At 52.7% G+C, this 22,028-nt stretch overlaps 1 protein-coding gene across 1 annotated transcript in view; it reads left to right on the top strand.

Annotated features, from left to right (window-relative positions):
- The window catches only part of MMEL1 (membrane metalloendopeptidase like 1), a 42,378-nt gene that overhangs the window by 12,473 nt on the left and 7,877 nt on the right, over positions 1–22,028 (top strand). The window contains exons 3-12 of the mRNA NM_033467.4: positions 8,340–8,417; positions 9,204–9,263; positions 10,713–10,874; positions 11,125–11,205; positions 13,475–13,570; positions 14,178–14,296; positions 14,921–14,986; positions 16,263–16,397; positions 16,571–16,660; positions 21,754–21,890. Of these exons, the coding sequence (NP_258428.2) occupies positions 8,340–8,417; positions 9,204–9,263; positions 10,713–10,874; positions 11,125–11,205; positions 13,475–13,570; positions 14,178–14,296; positions 14,921–14,986; positions 16,263–16,397; positions 16,571–16,660; positions 21,754–21,890 (1,024 nt within the window). The remainder of the gene's footprint in view (positions 1–8,339; positions 8,418–9,203; positions 9,264–10,712; positions 10,875–11,124; positions 11,206–13,474; positions 13,571–14,177; positions 14,297–14,920; positions 14,987–16,262; positions 16,398–16,570; positions 16,661–21,753; positions 21,891–22,028) is intronic.

Below are 22,028 nucleotides of genomic sequence, written 5' to 3'. Positions count from 1 at the left end.
TTCAAACCACAAAGTCAGTCCATAACAAGCCCCAAACAGTGAAACCCGGGAATCTTGTAGGGTAAGACCTCTGAATCCCACACGCATTTGAGACCTTGCTTGTGATCAGACAAGTTTGGGGAGCCCTGCTTGAAAATAATCTATCAGCATTAAACTCTTATCTCTTGTCTATGTGAAAATTACTTTATTTAGCGCTCGTCCTTCAGTGATCATTTAATTGGTTAAATGAGTCTGAGCTGTTATTTTCTCTCAATATCTTGAAGATTTAGCTCTCATGCCTTCTGACTCCCCTTGCTGCTGTTCAGACGTGGCTTCAGAGAAAAGTACAGTCAGCCTAACTGCCGCTCCTCTGTTGGGTGAACAATCTTTTCTCCTTGAGCTATGTTCTCTTTGTCTTGGGTATTCTGAATTGTTATCATGAGTTGTTTAGCTGTGAAATTATTTGTATTTATTCTGCTGTGGATTTGTTGTGATTCCTGAAGCTGAGCACTGATAACATATATTAATGTTGGAAAATTGTACCCGTTATCTTCCTGGATGGTGTATCTCCCACAATATCCCTTTTCTCTCCTTTTCCATTTTCCACTGCATATCTGCTCCATTTTTCCCACTGTCCTCCATGTCTTTCAGCTTTTCTTTCATATTTTCCATCTTGTTGACTTTCTCCTGCATTCTGGGTCAGTTCTTTAGAACTACACTTCATTTCACTAAATCTTCTGTTCTGTTATGTCTGTTGCTTAACTCAGCCTTTTGGGTTTGTAGTTGTTTTTGTTTTATAAATCTCAACAACTACGTGGTTTTATTTCTAGAATTTACAATGGATCCTTTTTCAAATTGATTTTTTATTGTTCCTTGTTCTTGCTTTTGATTTTTTTTTTTTTTTTTTTTGATAGAGTCTCACTCTGTCGCCCAGGCTGGAATGCAGTGGCACGATCTTGGATCCATGCAACCTCTGCCTCCTGGATTCAAGTGATTCTCATGCCTCAGCCTCCTGAGAAGCTGGGATTACAGGTGTCCGCCACCATGCCTGGCTAATTTTTGTAATTTTAGTAGAGACGGGGTTTCACCATGTTGGCCAGGCTGGTCTCAAACTCCTGACCTCAAGTGATCTGCCCACCTTGGCCTCCCAAAGTGCTAGGATTACAGGCATGAGCCACCACACCTGGCCTAGTTTTGATTCTTTTTGAAGCATTTCAAACGTACTTACGTTATTTTATTTTAGCAGTTGGGGTCTTAAAACCCAGCCCAACACTCACTGGCATAAAACAATGATTTATTGTGAGGCACCTCCACTGTTTGCCTGGGGTCATCTGACCTAGGTTGGGCTCAGCTGGGGTGCTCTGTCCATGTAACTTTCATCCTCCTACCAGAGCCCAGCAAGCATTCCTGCGCAGATCCCTCTCCTGGCAGTGAAAGAAATCCAAAAGGACAGGTGAAAACATGAAAGCCCTCTTAGGGCCCAGGCTCAGAACTGGAACCCTGTCATTCCCACCTCATTCTGTTGGCCAAAGCAAGTCACTTGGGCCACGCACAGTCAAGAGATAGAAGAAAAAAAATAATTTGTCCCTTTTGTGGGAGCAACTACGGAGTCACATGGCCAAGGCACGGATGCAGAGAAGACTCAGATCCAGGGCCAGTGGTGCCAGCTTCCATACGTTCTGGATCAGATCATTCCTAATTGGCAATCTTTGGGGTTCTGGTTTTGCTGTTTGTTTTCTCTCACTAATGTAAGATTTTCTTTTTTAAAAATGTAAATACATATTCAAATTGGCTTTTATCTATGGGGATCCTGTGTTATTGGGCTGAGAAATGTTCCCTCTGGAGAATATGTATTTGTTTTCATCAGGCACCTTAGGACACTACCAGCCTGGAGTTTCTTTAAATTGGCTTCTCCGCGAGAGGTTTCCTTGGCCACACATTTCTGTAAACTCGGCAATGGCATGACAAGCCGTCTGTGATTACACATCCTCCAGGGAGGGTGTTTCTTTCTCCACTCTGTGAAGTTCTTTGTGCCTTTGTTTCTTCTGAAAGAGGGATGGAGAAGAGAGGGAAAAGAAAAAAATGTAAATTATTTACATCAAGATTGTTTTAGTCCATTTGTGTTGCTCTAAAGGAATACCTGAGACTGAGTAATTTATAGAGAAAAGAGGTGGATTTGGCTCATGGTTCTGCAGGCTGCACAGGAAGCATGGCTCCCCATCTACTTCAGACTGTTCCATTCATGGTGGAAGGTAAAGGGGAGCCTGTGCATGCAGGTCATATGGCAAGAGAAAGAGAGAGAGAGAGAGAGAAGAGGTGCCAGGCTCTTTTCAAGCCACTCAGGGGCACCAAGCCATTCATGAAGAATCAGGTCCACAATCCAAACACCTCCCACCAGGCCCCACCCCCAACATTGGGTATCACATTTCAACATGAGACTTGGTAGGGAAAAATAAACCACATCCAAACCGTGGCAGAGGTCTTATTCAAATCAAGGCATTTGGAAAACTTTAGGAAAACAAAACCTTCAGAGGAAATGTCAAAAATAGTTTTTAAAATGTAGAAAGCCTATGTCAAAATGATTGGCATATTACAGAAGTTATTCAAGCAAATATAAAAGAACAAAGAGAAGATCCTGTGTCAACTGAGTATTCAGGAAAGCTGCCCTTTTTGGAATTATGAAAAAGAAAAATCTCCTTTTGGAGAGATCATTGACTGTGTTTCCTGTGATCATATTTTAGCATTAGGGTAAGATTTTGTTTCTTTTCAGCCATTGTGTCAAAAGGGTCTCACTGTTTTTGCTTTTTCTCTTAGAAGAACAGAGCTGTCGAATGCCAGTATGGGGTCTGGAGGTTCATGCCCTGCCACTCCCCCAAGGAAAGTGACCTTGGGTGTGTGATCTTGCCTCCCCAACAGTTTTCCCAAGAAAAGTAGAGATGAGGAACCTCACAAGCTTCTTTTTTTTGAGATAGAATCTCGCTCTGTCGCCCAGGCTGGAGTGCAGTGGCGCAATCTCAGCTCACTGCAACCTCCACCCACGGTGTTCAAGTAATTCTCCCACCTCAGCCTCTTGAGTAGATGGGATTACAGGCATGCACCACCACGCCTGACTAATTTTTTTTTTTTTTTTTTTTTTTTGAGACGGAGTCTCTCTCTGTCGCCCAGGCTGGAGTGCAGTGGCGCGATCTCGGCTCACTGCAAGCTCTGCCTCCCGGGTTCACGCCATTCTCCTGCCTCAGCCTCCCGAGTAGCTGGGACTACAGGCGCCCGCCACCACGCCCGGCTAATTTTTTGTATTTTTAGTAGAGACGGGGTTTCACCGTGTTAGCCGGGATGGTCTCGATCTCCTGACCTCGTGATCCGCCCGCCTCGGCCTCCCAAAGTGCTGGGATTACAGGCGTGAGCCACCGCGCCTGGCCACGCCTGACTAATTTTTGAATTTTTAGTAGAGACGGGGTTTTGCCATGTTGGCCAGGCTGGTCTTGAAGTGATCCTGGCCTCAAGTGATCCAGCTTCCTTGTGATGATTAAGTGAGGCACTGTAAGTTAAGGGACGACACGGAAAAAACATGCCTAGCTCATCTAATTCAGTTTTGAAAGTGCTGCTCAGGAGCTCACTACATCCTCAGGCAGCCCTTGATCTGCAGCATCTGGTGAATTTCCTTGGGGGTTTCCCCCATCAACAAGGCTACGGGAAATCCTATGTTGGGAATGCCGTGGGAGCTGTAGAGGCAGGATGCAGGCATGAAGGAGGCATGAACTCGCCTCTTCAGTTGTCCTAATTTGTTCTGGATACATCTGACTAGATGGGAAACAAATGAATCAGAGGCACTGTTTGGGTCCAGGTCTCCCGTCACACTTTGCTCCCTCTTTACCCTTTCTCAGGCTCATCATTCCTGCCCACCAATCTGGTCTTCCCACTGGTTTCGTGTCCCTTCTGAGTGAAGACCTTTTAGCATTTGTTGTGGGGCACATCTGGTAGAGACACATGTTCTCAGCTTTGGTCTAAAATGTCTTTATTTCACTTTCACTTTTGAAATATGTTTTTGCTGGGTATAGAATTATAAGCTGATAATGTATTATTGTTTTTTTCAAGGACTTAAAGAGCTCATTCCATCATCTTCTGGCCTTCATTCTTTCTGGTGAGAGGTCACCGTCATTCTTACTGTTGTTCCCCTCAATATAATGTGTCTTTTTTTGTCTGCTTTTTTTTTTTTTTTTTTGAGCTAGGGTCTCACTCTGTTGCCCAGGCTGGAGGGCAGTGGCATAATCACAGCTTACTGGAACATCCCCCCTCCCAGACTCAAGCGATCTTCCCACCTCAGCCTCCCAAATAGCTGGAACCACAGGTGTCCACCATCATGCCCAGCTAATTTTTGTTTTATAATTTTTTTATAGAGGTAAGGTTTCTCCATGTTGCCCGGGCTGGTCTCAACTCCTGGACTCAAGCAATCCACCTACCTCAGCCTCGCAAAGTGCTGGGATTCAGGCATGAGCCACCATGCCCAGCCCCACTGACTGCTTTTAAGTATGTCTTGAAATTCTTAATCCTGAATTTCTCTTTATCTTTAGTCCTCCACAGTTTGACTATGATGCTGCTGGATGGTTTTCTTTGTATTTGCCCAGCTTGGGATACACTGCCCTTCTTGGGGTAGATTTATATCTTTTACCAACTTTAAATATTTATTGGTCAGTATCTCTTCAAATATTGCTCTCTGAGTCTCTAGTTACATATATGTTAAGCCATTTAACATTGTCCTACAGGTCTGAGATCTTCTGTTCAGGTTTCCTTCCGTAATATTTCAAAAATTTAGAACAATTTTAGATTTACAGAAGCATTGCAAAATAGTACAGAAATCCCTATATACCCCACCCCCAGTCTCCCCTATTATGAACATCTTGCATTAGCCTGATACATTTGCCACAAGTAGTGAACCAATAGTGATAATATTACTATTAACTAAAGTTCACACTCAATTCACATTTCCCCGTTTTCCCTCATGTCCTCTTACCGTCCCAGGGTCATATCCAGAATGCCACATCTTCTCAGGCTCCTCTTGGCTGTGACAGTTTCTCAGACTTTCATTGTTTTCTTGTTTGTGTTTTTGTTTTTTGTGATCTTGACAGTCTTGAGGATTACTGATCAGGTGGAATGACCCTCAGTTGGAATTAGCCTAATGGTTTTCTCATGATTAGACTGGGGTAACATGTGTTGAAGAGGAAGGCCGCAGGTCACAGGTGCACACTTTCAATGACTGGACTTATCACTGTTGATGTTAACCTTAATTGCCTGGCTGGAGGTAGTGTCTGGTTTCTGCGCTGCAAGTTACTTTTTTCCCTTCTTTTTCATAGTGCAGTCTTTGAAAGGAAGCCACTGTGTGCAGCTCACACCTGAGGAGTGGGGAGTTATGCTCCACATCCTTAGAGGCAGAGTATCTACCTAAAGTATTTGGCATTCTTCTGTATGAGAGATTCATCTATTCTCCCTCATTTATTTATTTACTCAATGATTTGTAGATATTTATTTTACACTTTGCATTATAATCCACTGCTATATTGCATTGCTCAAATTGTTCTAACTCTGGCCATTGGGAGTTGTCAGTTGCTTCTATGACCCTCTGATGTATCCCCATTATCGTGAATTTGGGGTGAGTTTTTTGGGGGGGAGCACTTTCTTACTTTTTGACATTTCAACATGCTCCAAGCTCATCTCGTATGTTTCCTACCCCAGTTGTATAATCAACCATTTTTCTAAGGAGCCCTGGCTTCTTTTATCGGATAATGGTATCAAAAACCAACAGCTTCTAGGATAATGTGGTGTCTGAAAAACAAACAGAAACCAAGAGCTGGGTCCTATTCTTTGCTTATTGCTACTCCTTGGTTGGTGTTGCTTCTAGTCTAGCTCACCTGGCAGAGCAAAGGAATATGTATGTATACATGAACCCATCTAGATACTCATATCTATAAATATTTATATATGCAACCATCTGCATCTATATTAAGCTAAAAATGAGTTCACACTGTTGTCTCCAACTCTACTCCACCACCACATGGACCATTCTGACTTCCTCCTTTCCTTGTCTGTAACTTCTCACTGCAGCAGCAATAAGCCCAGCCACCTGCTATCCACTTACTTTTTCCATTCCAATGTACATGTGCAGTGGTTTCAGAGTTCAGCTGGGATCCCATGTAGGACAACTTTATCAACTAGAGTACAGCGCTTATGTACAGCTTCCTTTGCTTTAGTCTCATAGACTCTACTCATTTCTAAAGTTACTTAGGTCAACACTTTATTCCCCTATCCATTTCAGTGAGATTGTTTTATACATTTGTCTTGAGTCTCATTCTGCGTTTCATCCTGGGATTCCCCTGACAGTCTAAATAATTTTTTAACTTTGCATACAATAAGGTTTACTCTTTGTGCTATAACATTCTGTGGGTTTTGACAAATGGGTTCACCATTCACCACCACAGTATCGTACAGAATAGTTGCCCTGCCAAATGCATTCACTATTTGTCATTTTTTGCCCCCAAAACTCCCTTGTTCTTCACCTATTCAACCTCTTCAACATCCATTTTCCCAAACTCCTGGCAACTACTATTTAACATCTCTCCTCTCTAAAGTTTTGTTTTTCCAGAATGTCACATAATTGGAATCAGACAGTATGTAGCTCATAGTTTTTTGTTTTTTGTTTTTTGTTTTTGTTTTTATTTTGAGACAGGGTCTCACTCTGTCTCCCAGGCTGGAGTGCAGTGGTGCAATCTCAGCTCACTGCAGCCTCAACCTCCCGGGCTCAAGCAGTCCTCCCACCTCAGCCTCCCAAGTAGCTGGAACTACAGACGTATGCCGCCATGCTTGAACGTCCTTGCCAGGCGCATGTGCCCCTCCTCATGCTTTGACTCCAAAGGCAATGCAGCCACAGGCCTCTCCTCTCCTGGGAAGGCTTCATTCCTCCCTGGAATTTGACTCATGCTGGTTTCTCTATGTCCTCAGCTCTCGTGGGTTTCTAAAAGTGCCCATGCTGTAGGTTCTCCAGCTTGCTCTCCTGGCTAGGGTGGGGGCCACAGTCAATTTCAACTTTCTGCATCCTAATCAGAAGCAGAAAGCCCTTGCCCTCCTTGTCACCACTTTGGTCAGAGGTGATGTCCCTCGAATCCACTCTTTTGCTGAGGTGAGGCCCTCTGGAGTCCACAGTCCAGTCTCTGGTCCATAGGCTCTGGGTTACTGCAATTGGCAAACACCACAGGGCAGCCATGCCTTCCGCTCGCACTCACCACCTCCTTTCCGTTGCTGGCCTGGGGGATTCCTTTGCTCTGAAGCTCAGCCTTGCCCTTCAGCACTTTACCTCGGTGTATGCAGCATGCGGCACTTTCTCCCTGTTTCCACCGGGCGGGGGGCTCCTTGAGGGCTGGGCCCTGTCAGGCTCACATCTGAACTGCAGCATCTGGCCTGGCTCACAGTCATCATCCAGTGTTTCACTAATGGCTTTTTGAATGGCCAGGCCCCCAAGGAGCTGATATTTTTGTGGCTTCTAGCACCCTCTCTGCAGTCTCTGCCCAGGGCTAGGCCAGGTTCCAGGCCTGCCAACAGCCCTGACCTGAACGAGCCCTGTTCCCTCCTTCCATTCAGTCCTCTGTGTACCTCACTGCTGGGGAAATTCGGCCACAAGCCAGGTCTGAAGGTAGCCAGGCCTGGCTTGTCACCTCTCTGGACCTGGGGTCCCCTCTTCTCTCCATCCCACCCTCCTCTCCCATACATCTCTCCAGGCAGTTGACAGCCATCCCAGGAGCCCCCGATGCTGACCAGGCAGGCCCCTCCCAGCAGGCAGTAGAGAGATGGAGGGAGGGTGGCTTGGCACCTTCAGCAGCAGTGAGGGTGGAGGGGCTAGGGACAAGGGTCATTAGTGGGAAGCCACCCTCTCTGAAAAGGCCCTGTCCCTCTAAATGAGCCTGCCCTGTGGGACTCCAGGAGCGTGCCACCTTGTGTGGGCCTTGTCAGGGTCAGGAAGATCCTGAGGTAGAGGAGGCTGTCGGGAAGAGGAAGGTCTCACCTCAGGACCCCTCTAGGCCCTGGCACATCGGGGACCTTGGGGTGGGTGGAGGGAGAATTAAAGGGTGGGGCTGGCAAGGCAGGGCAAACCGCCCCCCATTCAAGCCCAGCAGGACACAGATTGAAGCTGGCCCCTGCAGTGAACTCTGTGGATCTCCTGTCTCGCTGCCCTGGGGACCAGCCCTCACTACAGGGGTAGGGCTGCAGCACCCAGCACTGTGGGAAGATGGCGTGCTGACCCAGGGAGGCCCCCAGCACCCCCAGGGAGCTGCAGGCAGGAGGCCGCAGCTGAGCGCTGTGTTTCTCCCCAGGGAAGCAGCTGCCACGCCTTGCTAGCCGGCTGTGCTTCTTACAGGAGGAGAGGACCTTTGTAAAACGAAAACCCCGAGGTAGCCTTTGCCTTCCCTTCCAAAACAGCCCCAGGCAGGTGGGCGCTGGCCTCCCAAGGTGGGGGGACTCCGTGGAGGGGCAGGGGCTGGGTTCTGCCCAACCCTCATGTGCCGGAGGAGGGCCATGGGGAGAGGACAGTGGCAGGGACCTCAGCTGGGTGCACCTGCTGGACGCAGGAGGCTTACTGGGCACTGTGGACACTCCGCACCTGCTCCTGCGTGGCCTCAGCACATTCAATTCCACCAGCTGGCACAGGGGTGGGGCAGGCCGGGGCAGGGCATGCAGAGAGGGGCAGCAAGGCAGGCTGCCTGGAGGAGCTGGCCCTGGCAGCAGGTGAGAGTGGGCTGGGCAGAAGGCAGGAGGGCAGAATGGCCGGCTTCAGCCCTTGGGGCCTGGGGCAGCTGTGGGGGTACATGGAGGCAGAGGGTGTAAAGGGGCTCCCAGGTCCCTGCAGCGGTCAAGGACAAAGAACGAAGCTCACTATCACTGAAGGCCTCAGGCCTGGGCCACCTGGGGAGGACTTGGGCTGCCAGGCTGGACCACCCATGGGGATGGAAGATGGGGTGGAGGGCCACACCCCACCCCCACCAGACTATGCTTTGGTTACCCTGGCCTTGCCCTACTGGCTTCAGCCCATGCTCCACCCACCCTGACCTTGCCCCGCCCACCCCAGTCTATGCCCATCCCCATGCCACACCCACCAGACCTTGCCCCGCCCACACCCACTCCAGTCCTGCCCCACCCTCTCCGTGGCTCCCGGTGCTCAGGCTGCTCCTTGCCCGCAGGGATCCCAGAGGCCCAAGAGGTGAGCGAGGTCTGCACCACCCCTGGCTGCGTGATAGCAGGTAAGCCCCGCCCCCTTGCCGTCCACAGCCTGCCCAAGGGCTGGGGGCTCCCGGCTGACACTGACGTAGGCCCCGCCCAAGGCCCAGGGAAGCAACTCCAAGACACGGCGGGCGGTGGAGCCGGGTGGGCCGGACTCGGACTCGCTGTGGAGCGGGCGGAGCTGGTGTTTCTGGCATCTGGCGTCCGCTGGGCCCCCAGTCCCCAGCCTCCAGCAGCCAGGCCCTGCAGCAACAGCATCCCGTGCCAAGAACCCCAGCGGCTTTTGTCCACATTTATAGAAAGAAAGGTTCAATGAATAGCCACTTTCTTATTTCAGATTTTCTCCCAGGCATTTGTCTTAAAATTGGGGGTCAGGTACCGCTATTTGCAGATGACAAAAACTGTTAACATGCTGTGAAAGCGCCAATAGTGGAGAAGCTCTGGACTGTGGCTTTTCTGCCCGTGCTGGGGGCTGGGGGGCCTGTGGACACGCCTTCCGTGAGGTCCCCAGCCCCAGAGGTGGAGTGGCCAAGACCAAGTTGGACAGAATTTGAGGGACGGTTCTTGGTCGGGGGGTGCAGCCCAGCTACCCCAGTTGAAAGCGTTCAGTGGGAAGCCTGGGTCTCCCCTGTCCTGTGCACATTCGGGGTTCCTGGGGCAAAGCCAACCCCTCTAGCAGAATACAAACCCCCATGGTGGTAAGAGTCGTCCCTCCCTCTGGGGACCAAGCACACTGATGAGTGAGGGGGCAGGGGGCAGAGTCAGAACAGAAAGGCCCTGGCGGACAGCCAGGAGCTGGGCCCGGCTTACAGGGCATGGTCACCAGCTGAGCACCTCCTGTGAGCTGGCACCATCTCAGCCATCGCCTCAGCCTGCAAGTCAGACCGCTGGTGTTCCCGGATTCACAGACAAGGAAATGAGTCTCGGAGGGTTTGGGGTTCAAGATCAAGTGGTTAATAAGTGAAAACCCAGCCGACTCATGCCTGAATTCCCAGCAACTCTGGAGGCCGAGGTGGACCACTTGAGCCCAGGAGTTCCAGACCAGCCTGGGCAACACAGCGAGACCCTGTTCTAAAATAAATTTTTTAAAAAGGCATTCGGGAGAGGAGACACACATCTGTTATCCCAGCTACTCAGGAGGCTGAAGTGGGAGGATTGCTTAAGCCCAGGAGTTCAAGGCTGCAGTGAGCTGTGATCACGCCACTGCACTCCAGCCTGGGCAACAGAGTGAGACCCTGTCTCTAAAAATAAATAAGTGAAAACCCTAGCACTGAATCCAGGTTGGGGGATTCCCTCTCTGCAGCTCAGAGAGGGTGGTTAACTCTCCCTGGGCACACAGCTGCGACTGGATGGACAGCAGCCCCTTCCCAAGGGACCAGGCTGTGTCTTGGACCGGGAGACAGGCTTCTGGGCTGTCCACAACTCTCTCTGTCTCCCCTCTCCCTGCTCCACGCCATGGGGACGAGCAGCTGCCAGGATCCTCCAGAACATGGACCCGACCACGGAACCGTGTGACGACTTCTACCAGTTTGCATGCGGAGGCTGGCTGCGGCGCCACGTGATCCCTGAGACCAACTCAAGATACAGCATCTTTGACGTCCTCCGCGACGAGCTGGAGGTCATCCTCAAAGGTGGCAGAGCACGGCCGGGGGTGCAGTGGGGTGACGCCGAACAGGACAGCACCGGGCCAGGAGTTGGTCCTGGCTGTGTCTCGCCCCTGTTTGTGCTTCCTCCTTGGTCCAGTGGGCGCAGAGGAGAGGGAATAAAGACCCAGCAGCTGGGGGGCCGCCTCTCGCCGAGCACTTCAGGGGGTGTAGGGACCTGTGACCTGGCCCCTGCAGCCTCGTCAGGCCTCTGTCCAACCTTTTCCTGTGCCCACAGCGGTGCTGGAGAATTCGACTGCCAAGGACCGGCCGGCTGTGGAGAAGGCCAGGACGCTGTACCGCTCCTGCATGAACCAGAGTGAGTGGGGGCCGCCAGGAAGGGGCCGAGGCAGGGGACGGGGGCGGGCTGCCCCTGCCAGGGCCTAGCGCAGCCCCAGGACCCCATGGCTGCCCCTAGGGTAGGAGTGGGTGCCTTTAGGACTCATGCCAGAGGGTCTATGTGCTGTGTCCCGCTCCCAGCCACAGGGTCCAGGCTCGCAGTAATGCCAGCTGCCCTGCGGCCTCACTCACACCCCAACCCCAGCACAGGCCACACGTTCCAGGCTGCAGGAAGACTGTGTGTGTGTGTGTGTGTGTGTGTGTGTGTGTGTGTGTGTGTGTGTATTATATGGATATGAGTATGTGTATATATGTGCATGCATATTATACATTTATATGCATATGTGTGTGTTGTGTGTATATGTATGTATATTGTGTATGTATATGTGTATACGTGTATGTGTATATATGTGTTCATGCATGTATCTATATATGTTACATGTGGTTTGTGCATGTGTACATGTGGGTACATGTGTTGTGTATGCATGTATGTGTGTTGTTATGTATATGTGTATATGTATATGCATGCGGTGTGTACATATGTGTGTGCATTGTGTGCACATGTGTGTTACGTGCATGTCACATGTGTATTGTGTATAGTGTATATGTGTATTATGTGCACATGCATGTATGTGTATATGTGTGTATTCTATGGGTGTGTTGTGTGTGCATATGTGTATGTTGTGTGTGCATGTATGTGTGTGTTATGTGTATATGTGTGTACTGTATATATATGTGCTGTGTGTACTTGTGTACATGTGTATATGTGTGTATGTGTATGTGTGTATGTGTATGTGTGTATATGTGTTATGTGTGTATACATGTTATGTGTGTGCTGTATGTGTGTCATATGTGCTTGTGTGTGCATGTGGATGTATGTGGATGTGTGTGTGTGGTGTGGGGGGCAGATTATCCATGTTTCAGTTCCTATTAAAGGAATTCACGTGCTTGGAGCACCCCCGGCCCAGCACCGTTTAACTCCTCCACTTGGGGGTCTGCAGGCCCAACCTGTGGTTGTGGCTGCTGTAGAGACAGCTTCTCCGCTGAGCACCAGGGTTCAGGGCTGGTTGTTTTGCCCAGGGGGTCTCGTGGAGCCTCCGCCTGACTGTGGAACTCGCTGGGACCCTGGCTTTAGGGGGCGTCTCCGTGAGACCCCTGCTTGGGTGCGCTGGGCTTGTCTCCTCCCCATGGAAACAGAAGGCTGGGCCCCCATTCTGGGCAATACTCCCAGCTGGAGATGACTTCCTGTGTCCTCGCCTTTACTTAATTTTTGGCCTGAGAGGCTGAATATACAAACGGCAGGGGCCAGACCATGTGGAAAACTGGAACGCAACTCAGGACCGGCAGCCCAGCCGGGAACCCAGCCCTTTATCCCCAGTGGGCAGCCCAGGAGGTCAGACGGCACTCCCCACGGCATCCGGCCCCTAACAGCCGGGGCCTGCCTCATCACAGGCAGCCTCCCCTGGAATGTCTGTCCCTTCCTCCAGCATAGGACCCTAGCCAAGCCCAGAGGAGGCCGGCCTCTAGTGAGCCCGCCACAGCCTCCCCAGGCCAGCAGCCCCCACTCAGCCCACTCGGGCCTCCCCTCTTCCACTAGGAAGCCCTGCTGCTCCCTGCAGGCCTTTGACCTGACGGGGCACCTGCCATGCTGTGCCAGCACTGAAGCCTTCACTTTGCCCTGTGGGTGGTCTTCACTTATTCCCACAGTGACTATCTCCGCGTCCCCACCTTTACCTAATCTTCGACTGCAAAAGCCCTGCTTGTCGGGGCCCCACCGTGCTGAGCCGAGACACAGGACACACACAGGCCCCAGGGCTCCCCTGCCTACCCCGCGCCCCCTCCCAGCCCACCCACCGCTGCCTGAGTCCTCGCCGAGGCTTGGCCTGATCCCAGAGCCTCCTCTCCTCTCCCAGGCTCCTCGCCTGCTGGCCGGCTCCCAGGCCCCAGGGGCTGCCTCCCATCATCCTCTTTGTCCCCCGGGGCTCATGTGCTTTTCTCAGCCCCCAGGTCTCCTTTCACGCCCGTGTCCAGTCTCAGCCTCCGCCTCCTGCGCTGCAGAGCTGCCAAGATGCTGACCTGTGACGGGAGGGTGCAGGTGTAAAGGCCCAGAGGCTGGGAGGCCGCCTCTCGCGGAGCACTGCAGGGGCTGTGGGGACCTGTGACGCCGGCCAACGGCGCCCCCACAGTTCTGTGTCGTGGCACGTGAGCCACAGGGAGGCTGGGAGAGTGACCACTGCGTCCCTTCTCAGGTGTGATAGAGAAGCGAGGCTCTCAGCCCCTGCTGGACATCTTGGAGGTGGTGGGAGGCTGGCCGGTGGCGATGGACAGGTGGAACGAGACCGTAGGTAAGGCCGGGCCTGGCAGCAGCCTCACAGACAGACAAAGGAGGACCAGGACCAGGGCTCCTTCGGTCTGAGGCCTTCCAGGAGGGGACCCCACCCCCACCCCCAGCTGGCTGCTCTCAGGAGCCCCAAGAGGCCCAACCCAGCCGGGGCAACCTCAGGGTCCTGGGAGGTGGTTTAGGTTCCATGCTGGGGAGTTGGTGCCCCGTGGCCAGTCCCATCCAGCCCTGCAGAGGGGTGCCCCTCCTCGGCCCCTAGGAGCGCTCGACACTCAGGCCCCAGCCAGGCTCCGGCCAGGCCCTGGCCCCAGGGCTCCCCACTCTGAGCATGTGCTCCATTCCCCCGGGGGCAGGAGTGGCACCTCACGTGGCTGGCAGCCCTGACAACCCCATGCTGCTCCCAACCCCCTCCGGTCACCTGGGGGCCCGCCTGTGGCTCCTGGGCTGTTAGGGAAAGTGTCTCCCACATCCCCCAGCCCCTAAGGCGCACAGGTGAGCTCCCCACCCTATGGCCCCCTAGTTCCTGGCTCCGGAGGCCAGATTCACCGACAAGGGGCCGGGCTGGGGCCCCAGGGCCCGCCAGTCTCCAGTGCGGGGCACTGTCTCCCCAGGACTCGAGTGGGAGCTGGAGCGGCAGCTGGCGCTGATGAACTCACAGTTCAACAGGCGCGTCCTCATCGACCTCTTCATCTGGAACGACGACCAGAACTCCAGCCGGCACATCATCTACGTACGAGCCGCGCCGGTGGGCAGGGGTAGGCAGGGTCCCCAAGCCTGGCTGGGGGCTCTTGCAGCACAGCAGAAGGATGGGCCAGGCCGACAGGGAGCTCCGGGGTCTCCTGGGACCTGGGCTCCTGGCTCCTGTCCACGTCCGTGGGCCCGGGAACGAGCTGCTGCTGCTGGAGTTTCTGTTGGGCCTCCTGGCCAAGCTGGGGGCCACAGTAGAACCCGGTTCTGGTCAGAGGGGCGGGGGCTCCTGAACAGCGGGGCTGGAACCGGGGCAGGAGGCCTGACCTCAGGGATCCACTGCTGGCCACGGGCTGGAGGCCAAAGAGAAACACACGAAACAAATACGCGCCCCACTCTGGGGGAGCCGCGGGTGCTGCGAGGCCCGGGACAGCCTGAACCCCTCCCCACCCCACCCCCGCCACCCTCTCCAGTCCAGCCCAGCGCCCCCACCATCACTCGGGGCAGGGTCTGGCCTCCCGGGTCCGGCACAAGCTCCACCACCAGCTCCTGGGCAGAGCACGTGTGCACGGGGCACAGTCCTGTGGGGAGGCGGCTGCAGCCTGCCTCAGCCAGGCTGCGGGGACCCCGGGCCCCTTGCCCAGGGTCACACCTTCTGTATTTCCAGATAGACCAGCCCACCTTGGGCATGCCCTCCCGAGAGTACTACTTCAACGGCGGCAGCAACCGGAAGGTGGGTGGGTCCTCACCGCAATGCCAGATGACCCCCCCATCACCCCCTACCCCGTGGTCTGGCCTTCCCGTTGCCCACCTGGCCTTCCCTCCCCGAAGCTGGTGTTAGTGAGCACCTGTGGAGGTTGAGCCCGGCACTGAGGGTGGCGGGTGCAGACGTGACCTATTGCTTGCCACCATCCTGGGGGACGTTCCCTCAACACCCGGGCCAGGCCTGGGGACAAGCTCAGCTCAGCAGCAGCCCCATGGGGCAGAACTGTCATCCCCCTCCCGTCAGTACAGACCCAGGCTCTGCAGCACCGGATTCCCAGGAGGGCCCCTGGAGATCTGAGTGCAGGCAGCTGGGCCCCGAGCCTGCTCCATCTCAAGGGGCTGTCAAGAGAGGGGAGGGATGAGGACCCCCACTGTGGACAAGGGGACCTTGAGGCTGGCAGGCCCAGGGCTAGCCCAGGGTGCAGGGAAGGGTGGGGAAGGACAGGGAGCAGGTGAGGAGGGCAAGGCATCCAGCACCAGGGCAGAGGTGAACAGGCATGAGGCATGAATGCCCCAGAGGGCCAGACACAATCCAGGGGGCCTCCTGGTGGAGGTGGGCTATGAACTAGACTTTGAAGGATGACCAAGCCCAGAGGAAGGGCCGTGTGGCCAAAGGTGGAGCAGTGGGGCTGAGAGAACCACGCCAGAGCAGGAGGGACTGGAGTGTCTCAAAAGCGCCATGTCTGGCCATGTGTTCAGACCAGGCAGCTATGGGCCAAGCCTGGCCAGAGCATTGGCCTGCACTGGGGAAGCCCTGCCCAGCGCGAGGAAGGCAGCTCCCTGAGGAGCAAACTTCCTCAGGATCCCACTCCAGACACTCAGGCCGGGAAGCACCTGGGTAGGGAAGCCCAAATTAGCCCTGGCACCCACCACCCCGGCACCCACCACCCTGGCACCCACAGCCCCGGCAGGCCCAAGTTAGCCCTGGCACCCCAAGCCCAGCACCCCAACCCCAGCACTGAGAGCCCCAGCACCCACCTGTGCAAACCCTTATAGGCAGCCACACAGTTTAAGCCCTGAGCAGCCCTGCAGACTAGGTACCCCGTCCAGTGGCTCGGGCACAGGTCACGCGTCTGAGACGCTCCCACTCGGCACTCTGTGTGCCCGAGAGCCTGCTGGTCAAGGTGGGTGGACACGCATTAGGGGCTTCCCCATGTCCTACGCCCACCCCACCCCCACAGAAAACTCCCTGGGGGCCATGGTGGCTGAGGCCACCCAGCTCTGCCCGGCGTCCTTTGGCCCAGGTGCGGGAAGCCTACCTGCAGTTCATGGTGTCAGTGGCCACGTTGCTGCGGGAGGATGCAAACCTGCCCAGGGACAGCTGCCTGGTGCAGGAGGACATGGTGCAGGTGCTGGAGCTGGAGACACAGCTGGCCAAGGTAAGGGGGCCGGGGCGGGTGGGGAGCGGGCAGCGAGTGGGCTGGGAGCCCCAGGCGGTGTGGCTGGCCAAGGTGAGGGGGTGCTGGGTGGGCCGGTAGCAGGCAGGGACTGGGCCAGGAGCCCCAGGGGGCATCCTGGCCACCCGCCCGTGTGACTGCTATCCCCGGCACAGGCCACGGTACCCCAGGAGGAGAGACACGACGTCATCGCCTTGTACCACCGGATGGGACTGGAGGAGCTGCAAAGCCAGTTTGGCCTGAAGGTGAGGCCACACCACACAGGAGGCCGGCACTGGCCGGGTGGAGACTCGTGGGGGACATGGAAGCGGCCCTCTGAGAGGGCACGTTGCCTGGCATTTAAGCTCAGAAACATTCCCCATCCCCGAGCAGGGAGACCCTGTACCTGATCACCCAAACTTGCTGCAGAGCAGCACCAGCACGATTACTAATGTCACTGGGACAGCAGTGCCAACTGTGCCATCCTGGAACAGAGTCACCCATCTGTGCGGTGCTGTGATGGCCCCGGTCTTCTGAGCAGGAAACGGAGGCCTCAGGGGGCTGCTGATGTGTGGGGGTGTACAGGGTCCCACCCAGGGCTCTCAGACCCCAAGTCCCGCTCAGAACCTTAGCAGGGTGCTTCCTCCCAGTCCTGCCTGCCCTGAGGGTAGCAGTTCCCCCTGGCCACACCCTCAGGCGCTCCCCTGCCCAGTGCCCAGGCCAGGCACCGCCCTGTGCTTTGAGGTGGGGGCTGGAGAGGAGCAGCCCAGCCTGGGAAGGGGCAAGTCCCCCACTCCCTCAGCCGACTCTCACCCTGCTGGAGCAGCTGGCCTTCTCGAGGGCCTCCTCCCCCAGGAGGCGCAGGCGTGCAGCTTCGGCAAAGGGTGCCCAAGTCAGTGGGGGGAGGGCAAGGGCAGAAGGGGGTCCAAAGCCCCTGCCCCCTCAACCAGAGTATGTCCCTGAGTGTCTGGAGCCACAGCTCTTGCCAAGGGCAAGACAGAGAGACTCTGGGGAGAGCCTCGCCCCAGGGCACCTAGTGCCTTGGAAGGCTGGTGGTCCCTAGATCGGTTCTGGTCCCCAGGGCTGGCCTGCGGGGACACACCTTCCCCAACACCCCGCTGCCCAGAACACACGCAGTGGGGCCAGGCTCTGCTCTGGCACTGGGCTTTATCCCCTTCCCAAACAAAGGCCTATCTCGATCGAGGTTCCGGTGCGGGAGAGGGACAGAAAAGCGGAGTGACCTCTAAAACGTGTCAGAAAGCCAGAAAGGGGGCAGGATGAGCTCAGCCAGGACAGCAGACAGGAGGTAAAGCCTTGCAGAGAACCAAGGGCCATGGCCATCTGGGGCCAGTGTGGCTCACACAGCAGTTCCCCAAGAGTCTGGGGCAGGGACTCCCAGCTAATGAGCACCGGGGCTAGAGAGAGATGGAGTAGGAAGTAAAGCGGGGGATGCCGTGTCCGACCTCGGGGGCCACTTGAAAGTCTCAGACTCTGCCCGAGAGGAGTGGGGGTATGACAGGACGTGACCTGGTTCACAAGTAAGAGTGAGTGAAGGGGACGGGGCAGGTGGCAGAGAAGCCAATCAGAGGCTGCCACGTAGCCCGGGCAAGAGATGGCAGCTCTGCCAAGGGGGGTGCCCGTGGTGGAGGTGGCTTTGGGGTTGATTTTGGAAGTGGAGCCAACAGGGTTTGCAAAAGGACTAAATATGGAAGTGAGAGAGCTCAGATGGCCTGAGGTTGCCGTGGAGACATCACAGCGGCAGGTTCAGGGGAGCGTCCAGGAGCCCAGGGTTTGGGGACATTTGGTTTACAATGCATTTATGATGTTCAGAATCGCCCCAGAGTGAACACATCCACACAATCACCCCTCAGATCAAGACTTACGTGACCACCGACATCCCAGAAGCCCCCACATGCCCCTGCCTAGCCCCTGTGCCTGCCTCCTTCCCTGGAGAAGAGACCCTGACTTCTCCCTGGAGGGAGGCCGGTCCCTGACGTGGCCTCTAGATTGCTGAGTGGCCTCTGACTCTAAGAACATGCGACAACTCGGGTCCCACTGTGCTGTCTCTGGGCCTTTTCTGAGTGATGTTGTCATGCCCATGCCTGTGTGTGCCTGTGGCAGGCAAGTGGGTAGGAGTGGAATTGCTGGGTGGAAGCACACGCATCTGTTCAACAGTAACAGGCACTGTCTTTCCCCAGAATTATCCAGGGATGTGCGCTCCCCAACAGCGGCTGGTGCCACACCCTCGCCCGTGCTGGGTGGTGTCCGTTCTCAGCCGTTTCTGCACCTGTGTAGTGGGGTTTCATCTGGGTTCAATGTGACTTTCCCCAAGGGCGGAGGAGGTTAAACGCCATCTCCTGTCAATTGGCCAATGCCATTCCCTTTTGTGGAACGTCTGTTTGAGTCTTGCCCATTTGTTCTATCGGGCGATCTTTCTCTGATTGATTCTTGGAGTTACCTATTTTAGATGTGACTCCTTGGTCAGCTTATGTGTACAAATGTTCTCCCCACTGGGCAGCTTGCTTTTTTACTCTCATAAGGGTTTCTTTGTTTCAATGGAGGCTATTAAATGGTCCAATTTATTGGCTTAGCAAATGTGTGCAGATCTCTTCTTCGTGGTTAGTATTCTTTGTGTTCTGCTAAAGAACTCTTTGCCTACCCTCAGGTTTGCTTAGGTCTACAATCTACTGTGAGTTGATTTTTTTAATGGACAGTGAGATGTAGGAATTGTTTCTTTCTTATGGATTTCCAGTCATTCAGCACCATTTATTAAAAAGAGCCCCCTGTGAGCCCCTGGTCTTGGTGCCTTCTGTGTTATAAATCAGGTGTTCCTGTGTGTCTATGCGTGGGCCCATATGTATATTTCTGGACTCTCTTTTGCCCCACTGGTCTCTTTATCTATCCAAGTGATAACCCCTACCACCATCACTCCTTCAGCTTTATAATGTCTTGATAGTCAATAGAGTATATATTTCAACTTTGTTCTTCAAGAGTGTCTTGATAATTCTCAGTCCTTTGCATTTTCACATAAAACTTAAAATCTGCCTTCCATTTGCATACACGCACACACACAAAAAGAAAACTCTGCTAGAAATTTGATAGGGATCACTTTGAATCTCTCTATCAATTTGGGGAGACTTTGCAATGCTGAGTCTTCCAATCCATGAACATGATATATGCTTCCATTTATGCTTCAATTTTTCTTAATAACTTTTAAAGCTTTCAGTGTCAAGTTCTTATACATATTTTATTAGATAAATTACAGGTGTTTGGTTTTCTACTATAAATAGAATCATTTTGAAATTATCTTATTTGTTGCTGATATATGGAAATACTGACTTTGTAAATATGCAGTCTTACTCAATGCACTTATTAGTTCTGGTTATTTATTTGTAGAATAAACAAAATCATATCATTTGTAAAAAAACAGGGGGGTTGGGTTTTGTTTGTTTGTTTGTTTGTTTGAGACAGGGTCTCACTCTGTCATGCAGACTGGAGTGGAGTGGCACAGTCATGGCTCACTGCAGCCTTGACCTCTTGGGCTCAAGCCTCCTGAGTAGCTGCGACCACAGGAATACACCATGACCAAGCCTTGCCTGATTTTTTTTTTTTTCCCAGAAACAGGGTTTCTCTATGTTGGCCAGGCTGGTCTTGAACTCCTGTGCTCAAGCAGTCCTCCCGCCCTGGCCTCCCAAAGTGCTGGGATTACAGGCATGAGCCACCGCACCTGGTCCAGTTTTATTTATTCTCTTTCAGTTCTTACTGGCTTTATTTCATGTTTGCTTTTACTGAACTGGACAGGATTTTGAGCATAATGCTGATGTCATAATAGTAGACATTAAAAGAAAAGCACGTATATTCTTACCACTAAATTTTATGTTTGGCCAGGCATGGTGGCTCATGCCTGTAATCCCAGCACTTTGGGAGGCCGAGGCAGGTGGATCACCTGAGGTCAGGAGCTTGAGACCAGCCTGGCCAACATGGTGAAACCCTGTCTCTACTAAAAATACAAAAACTAGCTAGGTGTGTTAGCACATGCCTGTAATCTCAGCTACTAGGGAGGCTGAGGCAGCAGAATTGCTTGAACCCAGGGGTCAGAGGTTGCAGTGACCCAAGATTGCACTGCTGCACTTGAACCTGGGCAACAAAGCGAGACTCTGTCTCAAAAATAAATTTAAAAAAAAGTTATGTTTGCTATGGAGTTGTTTTTGTTGCTTCTGCTGCTTCATACATTTCCTTTATCAGGTTATAGAATTTTCCTTCTATTTTTCTTTTTATCTTTTTTTTTTTTTTGAGACAAAGTCTTGCTCTGTTGCCCAGGCTGGAGCGCAGTGGAGTGATCTCAGCTCACCATAACCTCTGCCTCCCAGGTTCAAGCGATTCTCATGCCTCAGCCTCCCAAGTAGCTGGGACTACAGCATGCGCCACCACACCCAGCTAATTTTTGCATTTTTAGTAGACACAGGGTTTCACCATGTTGGCCAGCATGGCCTTGAACTCCTGGCCTCAGGTGATCTGCCCGCCTCGACCTCCCAAAGTGTTGGGATTACAGGCGTGAGCCACTGTGGCTGACCCCTTCTATTTTTATTTGCCAAGAGTTTTTATTATGAATAGATGGCAGATTTTATCAAATGCTTTTTCTGCATCTGTTGAAATAATCATGTGACTTTCCTCCTTTATTCAGTTATTGTAGTGAATTAAAATTATTTTATTTTCAAATGTTACACCAAACTTGTATTCCTTGAATAAATCTAATTCAGCTGTGATATATTAGCATTTTATACAAGTATGGCTAGGTTCTATTTGCTAATATTTTGCTTAGAACTTTTGTATCTATGACATAAACGAGACTGGCTTATTATTTACTCTGCTTATAATATCCTTATTTTGGTATCAAGGTTATTCTTGGCCTCATAAATCAAGTTGAAAAGCATTTTCTCATCTCTGGAAAGTTTTAATAAGATTGGCAGTTTTCCTTAAATGTCAGATAGAATCCACTGGTGAAGCCAAATGGGTCTGGAAATTTCTTTATTGGAAAGTTTCAAATTAAATATTCCATTTATTTAACCTAGAAGACTATTCATATTTTCTATTTCTTTTTTTGTCATTTTTGCTAAGTTGTGTTTTTCTAGGAACTTGCCTGTTATACTTAGGCTTTCGCATATATCTGCATGATCGCTTGGGTTTTTACAGCTGTAGGCTCTGTAATAATGTCACCCACCCTTTCCTGATTCTGATTACCTGCACTTCTCTCTTATTCCTTGAACATTCTTCAACAGGGGCTGGGTTTCTTAGATTCCCAGGAACTGTTTCTCCCTCTCTCTCTCTCCCTCTTTCTCCCCACTTCCTCTATCTGCAGGGATTTAACTGGACTCTGTTCATACAAACTGTGCTATCCTCTGTCAAAATCAAGCTGCTGCCAGATGAGGAAGTGGTGGTCTATGGCATCCCCTACCTGCAGAACCTTGAAAACATCATCGACACCTACTCAGCCAGGTGAGGCCCAGGGAGGGTCTCCAAAGGCCTCAGCATCTTTGCCCCTGCTCTCCCATCCTCCCCAACACAGCTTCTGCTCCCAGGAGGGGACCCTATGAAGCATCTGCCCTGAGGGGTGTGGGACATGAGGGGTTAAGC

Source organism: Homo sapiens, chromosome 1 (genome assembly GCF_000001405.40).
Source record: "Homo sapiens chromosome 1, GRCh38.p14 Primary Assembly".
In the NCBI taxonomy this organism is placed as follows: Eukaryota; Metazoa; Chordata; class Mammalia; order Primates; family Hominidae; genus Homo; species Homo sapiens.
This window is presented reverse-complemented; position numbering and strand designations above follow the sequence as displayed.